Raw genomic sequence first — 8,505 nt, 5'->3', positions numbered from 1 at the left:
AGAGACCTTGGCACAGTCCCAAATATATACACACTCACATATGTCAAAGGTATTGAATAAAGTTAGTGGTGTTTTAGGGTAGGAAGGGATGAGTGACATATATTGTAGGTGAAAGACATGTTATGAAACTATTGCTATAGCTAAAGAGAGATATGATGTTGGTCAGAGCTAAGGCCCAGAGCAAAAATAATTAAAAGGAAGTAGTTTAGAGCTAGAATTGCTGGAAAGTTTCTCAGCAGAGGAAGTAAAGGAGGAGAATTCAAACATTCAAACTTTCTGGTCTTCACATTTTTTAACCTGAAAAATGAACAGCTTGGGTTAGTTCCAAAGTTTCTGATGCTATGACTCCAAGGTTCCAAATTTGGGTAAATGAGAAAGCTTAGGTGGCTGTCATAAATTTGGCCTTGGAGTTACAGAGTTCAGTGTGCTGATGAAGTATCCACGTGGAGAAGGACTAGTGGTGGGGGAATTTAGGAACAGCTCTTGGAAGAACAGTCTGGGCAAGATCCATGGGCTGGGCAGTTACCTGCATAGATGAAAGTTGGAGTTCTATGAGTTGGTGCATTCCACAGGGTGTACATTGTGGAGAGAAGAGCACAGAACCTTGAGGCATGCTTATTTTTCAGATTCTGGAGCGAAGGAGTCTAGCTAGATAAGTTCTCAAGGGGATTACAGAATAAAGAGATTTCTGTTTGGATTTGTTTTAGGATTTGTTTTAGGATGGTAGATGTGTATTTTAAGCAAAAGGAAAATAGGGGAGAGAATGAGAAGATCTCAGAAAGGAGATGGTTGAAGAAACCAGGTTCTGAGCTGGGAGTGGTGGCTTACACCTGTAATTCCAGCACCTTGGGAGGCTGAGGTGGGCAGATCACCTGAGGTTGAGAGTTGGAGACCAGACATAGTGAAACCCCATCTCTCTCTCTCTTTTTTTTTTTTTTGAGATGGGGTCTTGCTCTGTTGCCCAGGCTGGAGTGCAGTGGTGCGATCTTGGCTCACTGCAAGCTCTGCCTCCCAGGTTCACGCCATTCTCCTGCCTCAGCCTCCTAAGTAGCTGGGACTACAGGTACCTGCCACCACACCCAGCAAATTTTTTTGTATTTTTAGTAGAGATGGGTTTTCACCGTGTTAGCCAAGGTGGTCTCGATCTCCTGACCTTGTGAGAAACCCCATCTTTACTAAAAATACAAAATTATCTGGGCATGGTGGTGCACGCCTGTAATCCCAGCTATTTGGGAGGCTGAAGCAGGATAGTCACTTGAATCCAGGAGGTGGAGGTTGCAGTGAGCCGAGACTGCGCCGCTGCACTCTAGCCTTGGTGACAAGGGTGAAACTCTGTCTCAAGAAAAAAAAAAGAAAAAGAAAAAGAAAAAACGAGGTTCTGAAGGCGATTGGAGGAAGTGGGACTAAAGATATAAATAAATGGTTGAAATAGGATGGAGAAAGGCACTTCTTCCTTTGAAGAGGGAGGGAAGGGTAAGTGAAGTTATAGAGTTATTTTAAGGTAGAGAGAGTGAGAAGCTGAGGCAGCATATTCCTTTTCCAGAGAGTGAGGGAGGCAAAGGGTATGTGGAAGCCTAAGGCTACAAAAGATGCTTAGGAATAGTTCATGTGGGGAATGGGACAGAGCTTAACTAAAGTTGAAATGATTGATTATTAAACATGATTATGGGAGTGGGGCCAGGGAGCTTAACTAAAGTTGAAATGATTGATTATCAAACATGATTATGGGAGTGGGGCCGGGGGCTGGGGGGTCATTCCCCCTGTGCAAAGATACTTTAAGAGCAAGTGGATGATTGCAGTTGTTGTTTCTAAGTGCTTGAGATTTGTGAAGTCAATGAAGGTATAAATTAAAGACATGATTCCACCTGTGGTTGTTTGGAATGGGAATGAGATCATTGGAACTGAAGATCTTGAAGGGAGAGCTTGCTCTGGGATTTCCCTGGTTCAATTGTGGTCTACAGACTCCAGGTTGAAGGGGAGAAATTATAAAGGAACAACTAGTGCTGTCTAACAGTAGATAGACACTGTTCTTGTCATGCCCTTGTTTAGTAGGTAGAACAAATGTTCATAGAGCTGGAGGGTGCTGTCAACCACTGATTATAATTTAAACAAAAACTGAGTAATCATCTTTAAGGGTATACATGTATCACTCATGTGTTTGCTACTTTTGAGACAGAAGCTATAGATTGTCATTACATTTCCTTTTGGCCCCAAGTTTTTTTAAATAGTTTACTTACACAATTCCCATACATTCTAAAGTACAGCACAGCTTTATTCCATCACATTCAACATCACGTGGATTCAGATACTTTGTAAGCTGAATCATACCTCTCAGACCTAACTACAAACTCAAAAATATTTGCATAGTCTGCTTATCTTATATTGTGGATAAGCTGATCCCCAGAATCAGCACTGTGAGACAGAAAGGAATTGGTATTCAGACAGCATGCCATTATGAGGCAACATACTGAGTAGAGTCATATGTCACATGCCCCTAATTGTAAATCCTAATTCCACCTTTTTTATTTTTGTTTTTAAAATAGCACAACCTTGTGATCTTGGACAAGTTACCCTTTAAACTTCAGTTTTTTTCATCTGTAAAGGAGGAACAAAAATAGCATCTATTTTATGGGGTTGTTGTGAGGATTAAATGAGGTAGGTTCACAATAAGGCACTTATAGCTCAGGGCAAATGCTCAGTGAATTTGAGCTACTGAGTGCACTAAAAAGAACAGGGTCAAGTGCATCATAGACATCAAGCCAATGACATGGGGACAAGGAATTTATAAAGGAGATTTGGTTAAGTGAATCTCAAGCAGAGCAAGGTGATGTGGCTGAATGACCAAGTAAAGAGATGGGATTTTCTTGTTATGAAAATGGCGTCTCTCAGGTTTTTCCAGTAACTATGACTAGATTTTTTAAAAGTGGATAATTCACTTAAATTTATCTAATTACTAAAACAGCAAAGCTCTGAGAAACTCATAAAGGCATCTCAATGTTTTAATGAATATACGTTCATAATGCAATATAAGAAAAACCCTTGCAGATGGTCAAAATGTAGTATCACTTTTAGTAGGAAATCACCCAGGTGGCAATAACCAGTGGTTTTAGGTGTAGTGTTAAACTGTTTTCTTTTGGTCAAGGTTTAGCCTTTGGATGGATAGGGAGTAATAGAGATTTTTAGTCCCTCGATGATGAAAAAATTATAATATGCAAATTTTTTACCCTCTCCTTGGTATTGTCATTAAAAAATGTGGTGACAGTTTATACTTTCTCAGTTGCGGATCAGTGGAGACCTGGAGGATCAAACTTTTGGTAGTATAGCAGATACTGTTGTGTGCCTGCTCCAAAAATATTCACCTTCTTTCCCCCATAGTAGAACCTCAATTGCGTTCAAGGATGTGTGGTGTTTTCTGACCCCAACCAATTCTCCAGACACCAACTGGGTGTCTAACAATTCAACTCAGCTCTGACACTAACTACCTAGAGTTAGTGCAGATCCCACAGGTTAAGGATCCAGTCCCGTAAGACTGTCACTGCTTTAGACACCAGTCATAAATGGAGTACCAAGGCCACCCGCCCTTCTTCTCATCTGACTACAAATTTGGGAGTTCTCACAATCTCCTTCTTGGGTTTAATAATTGGCTAGAACAACTCACAGAACACAGGACAGTGGTTTACTTATGATTATCGGTTTATTATAAATGGTGAAACTCAGCTACAGCCAAATGGAAGAGATGCATAGGGCAAGGTATGTAGGGAGGAGCATAGAGCTTCCATGCCCTTTCCAGGTGCACCATCCTCCCAGCACCTTGATGTGTTCACTGACTCAAAAGCTCCCTTAGTCTCATTATTTCAGATATTTTATTGAAGATTTATTATGTCAGCATGATTGATTAAGTCATTGGCCATTGGTGATTGAACTCAATTTCCAGCCCCTGTTCTCTCCAAAAAGTTGGTGGGTAGGGCTGATAGTTCTAATCCTCTAATCACATGATTGGTTTTCTGGTGACCAGTTACCAGACTCCTGTTATCTAGGAGTCGCCACCAAGAGTCACCTCATTAGCATGAACTCACATGTGGTCAAAAGGGGCTCGTTATAAGTGACAAGACACTCTTATCACTCAGGGAATTTCAAGGGTTTTAGGAGTTCTGTGCCAGGAAATAAAGACAAGACCGAATATATATTTTTTATTATACCACAAGGGGTCACTGAAGAAGAAGTCCCAAACCCCTCCCAAGGAAAGTTCCTGATTGGTTTAAGCCCATCTAGATATTGGTCCTTATAAGAGCTTGACTTATTCATAGGCATGGCCAATGAGACATGAAACAAGGTTGACTTCTGGGAGTTTCTTCAATTTAAGAAGCCCATCTAAAAATAGTCCCTCTTGACCTGCTAGATGTTGTTGTTTTGCATAGCTAGATGTACATGTGCCATATTGTGAGAATGAGAGAAATTAAGCCATGAGAGGATACACAAAGAATAGTAAAGTAGAAATCTGAAAGAACCTGGGCTCCTGATTATTGGGTCATCATTGTTAGTTGTCTGAATTCCAAGCTAAGGAATTTGCCTTTATGCTGTAAATAAGTTATTTTTAAAATACATCTTATTTTGTATATTTGAGGTTTACAATATGGTGTGATGGAATACATATAGATAGTAAAATGTTTACTATAGTGAAGCAGATTAGTATATCTGTCATCTCACATAGTTACTTTTTTTGTGACAAGAACAGCTAAAATCTACTTAGTTAACAAAATTCCCTAATGCAATACAATTTGTTAACTCTAGTGCTCATGCTGTACATTAGATATTGACTTATCTTGTGTATTATCTTATGTATCTGCTACTTTATATCCTTTGACCTACATCTCCCCATTTCTCCCATGCTCCACCTTAGATTATGAAAAAAAATTACAAACCACATATTTGATAAGCGGTTAATATCCAAAATTTGTAAAGGATTTTTAAAACTCAATAGCAGAAAAACAAATAACATGATTAAAAAATGGGCAAAGGACCTGAATAGGTATTTCTCCAAAGAAGACATAAAAATGGCCAACATATATGAAAAGGTCTGATAGGTAATTTAGAGTCAACAAAAGTTTATAACCTGCTGGGAATGGTCCAATAAGTTTTTTTTTTTTTTTTGATAACTCCATCATAGAGAATGATTCGCAGTTGGGGACGTTAGAGGCAAGAAGGTCATTGTAATTGTTTAGGTTTCAGATGATGATGGCTGCACTAAGGAAGTGGACGTGGAATTGGAGAAGACATGCTGAATTAGAGGCACCACTGGAGTGTGGGATCAACAGTATGTGGCGACCAATGAAGTGAGAGTGGTTGAGGAAACAGTAGCTGTCAAAAGTATTCTTAGATTTCTAGCTTGATAGGCTGGATTGACAAAAATGTCTTTACTAGAAAGAGGGAATACAAGATGCAGTATAGTTTTATTTTTTTCTCTTTCTGATGGAAGGATGATGAGTTCAGTTTTAAACATGTTGAGTTGCAGAACCTGAAGCAATTCTAGGTGGAGGTGTCTAGTTGGCATCTAGAAATACAATGTTGGAGCTGGAGATAGATCAGGGGGATTTTCTTTCAGGTGGAATTAACAAGATCCCTCCTATCTGGCAGCAATGTATGTTTTAGCCACTTTTGCATTATAGTTACAGAAGCCAAAGGAGGAGGGATCTCATGTTCATAGCTTCACTGGACAGATATAGAACTAGATTTGTAGAGGTTAAATGATCTTGCTAACTTCACCAAGCTGCTGACTGGTGGTTGTAGGGAAGGAACCAGAAACCTTATTTCCCAACTCTTTGAACAATGCTTCTGCCAAAGTCTCAGTTACATTTTCTTAGTGACAGACAGTTTAATCCATGAAGTCAAGATGTTTGACTTTCACATCAATGTCAAAGATAAAGATTTTTGTCTAGACAGTTTTCTTCTGTTTCTCACCATACAAGATATTCAAAATTGCTACAAGTTTGCTTAGAAAAGATGAAGAACCAGTAGAATAAATGTAGTTTCTCTTTTGGAAAGAGAAGGAAATATATAACAGGTAAGACTTAAAATTATTAATCTAGAGAAGCCAAATCTTCTACTTATATTCCTTTGTTATTACCAAGAGTACTACTGACAATCTGTTTATAATACATATGTACATATATGTATATACATCTTTTCATATCTAAAAATATATTTATAAAATATTCTTGACCCTGGGGCCTATACTACTGAAATGAGTTAACACTAAACTCATTTAAATTCTATGATTTGCTTTACTGATAGCTTTTTCTTTTTATACTTTTATTTCATAGCAACTAATAGTGCCTTGAAAGGGCTCATCAGTTTCCCTGAACACTGAATGTATTTTCCCAATGGAAGTGTGTGTTTGGATAGGAATAGAATTATGGAGTTGTTGACAATTTTGGGAAGAGCATAGTCGGTGGAGTAGCAGAGCGTAGGGGATAAGGTCATGGGTTCTGGGATCTGACAGACCTGCATTTATATCTTGGCCCTGACATTTAATGCTTTGGCAAGTTACTTAACTTTTCTTAGCCTTAGTTATACTCTTTGTAGAATTGGAATAATATCAACCAATGTGGGCAATTGTTATGAAAATCAAATGAGAAAATGGACATGAAGTCCTTAGCTTTTTTTGTGCTTAACACAGAGTGAGTACTCAATAGATGGTAATTTTAAAAAGAGGGGTTGTGGAATCAGAGCATGCTGGTGGTTAGTTGTTAACAGCCTTGAGCTACTACTTCTGGAAGATTGTGTTTATATGTATTTGATGCTTATTCAGAGGAAATTTAATGGTACTGTGAGTAGGAGGTGATCATTCTTTCAAAAAGAGTGGAGGTGAACATGTACACTTTACTGCAACCTGCCTCTGATAGTGTGACCAATGACAGGTAACTTAACCTCAGAGCTTCAATTTCTTTACCTATAAAGGGATTCAAGTTATGTAGTCAGCACATGTTTATTGAATGGTAATATGTGCCAGGCATTGTGCTAGGCTTTAGAGATAAAATGTTGAGCAAACCAGATGTGATCTCTACCTTCATGGAGTTCATAACTAGTAGGGGAAATGAGCACAATCACATAGTCATAAAAGTACAATAAATGCTGATAAGTGGAAAATGCCAGCATGAGTGCCCTGAAGGGAAGGTAGTGCAGATGTTATTAAAGTATGTCAAAGAAGGATCCAGATCTGGCCTATGAGACCCATGAGAGGTGGGTCTTTTCTAAAGAAAGAGAATTTAACTACCGTGTACTATGAGTATGCTCTAGATGACTTGTATAGTCTGTTCCAGCTATGACATATTGCTGCAGTTCCACACACATGACAGAATTATGGCATCCTCTGAAGTTATGCTCACTTCTGTTATCTTAACCAAACCCTACACTGCATTGCCCTACCTCACTCCTTTCCTTCCTATGGGGCTGCTTGAAAGAACCATCTATACTTGCACCATTTCCCACGGCTTAGCTGTTCTTCAGCCCACTGAAATCTGTTTTCCCCCTTCCTTTCAGTGTAAGCAGCCATCCCCAAAATAACCAAGGATCTTATGGTTGATAAATAGACTGCCGTTTGGTCTTTATCTTAACATTTGGGCAGCTTTTGAAAGGGTCTACCTCCTTGAGGCCCCATTCACCTCTTGGCTTCTGGGGTAGCATACTTCCTTTCTACACCACTAGCTGCTCCTTTCCAAGCTTCCTCAAAGCCTTATCTTCCTCTGTGCACCTGTTGAATAGTACTAGTCTGAGGTCCTAGTCTTTGGGCTTCCTCTCTACACACATCTGCTGGCTAATCTCATCCATTACAAGGACATGATTACTGATTCTGTACTGATAGCTCCAAATCTGTACTTTTTGTCCCAATCTTTCTCTATCTGAGGTACAGACTCATACCTTCTACAGCCCTCTGGCCATTTCTCCATGGGGCCTCTGCAGACAAACTCAATTTATCCAAAGATAAATTGACAGGTAACCTCAGAGCTTCAATTTCTTTACCTATAAAGGGATTCAAGTTATGTAGTCAGCACGTTTATTGAATGGTAATATGGGCCAGGCATTGTGCTAGGCTTTAGGGATAAAATGGTGAGCAAACCAGATGTGATCTTTACCTTCATGGAGTTCATAACTAGTAGGGGAAATGAGCACAATCACATAGTCATAAAAGCCTAGCACAATGCCTGGCACATATTACCATTCAATAAACATGTGCTGACTATATAACTTGAATGTCTTTATAGGTAAATAAATCGAAGCTCTGAGGTTACCTGTCATTGGTCACACTGCTCTTCTGTCTGTGGAGTGACACTTCATCTATCACCACTAAAGTCAGAAATGCAAACAACTGACCATTTCCTTAAACTTATCATATTTCTCATTTGGGGACTTTGCACTTACTGATAACTTTAGTTAGAACAGTTTTCCCCTCCACAGCCCTTTCTACTTATCTTCAATACTTGTTCTGGTGTCATCTTTGAAGCCACT

General features: G+C 39.2%; 1 annotated feature.

The window, feature by feature from the left end:
* Positions 7,673–7,842: an enhancer, noted in NCBI's record as "experimental_5126 CRE fragment used in MPRA reporter constructs". NCBI's record gives its function as "activates a minimal promoter by MPRAs in K562 erythroleukemia cells, with activity observed for both the introgressed and non-introgressed 1:222499516 variant alleles {active_cell/tissue: K562}" and the evidence as "EXISTENCE:reporter gene assay evidence [ECO:0000049][PMID:34662402]".

Source organism: Homo sapiens, chromosome 1 (genome assembly GCF_000001405.40).
Source record: "Homo sapiens chromosome 1, GRCh38.p14 Primary Assembly".
NCBI lineage: Eukaryota > Metazoa > Chordata > Mammalia > Primates > Hominidae > Homo > Homo sapiens.
This window is presented reverse-complemented; position numbering and strand designations above follow the sequence as displayed.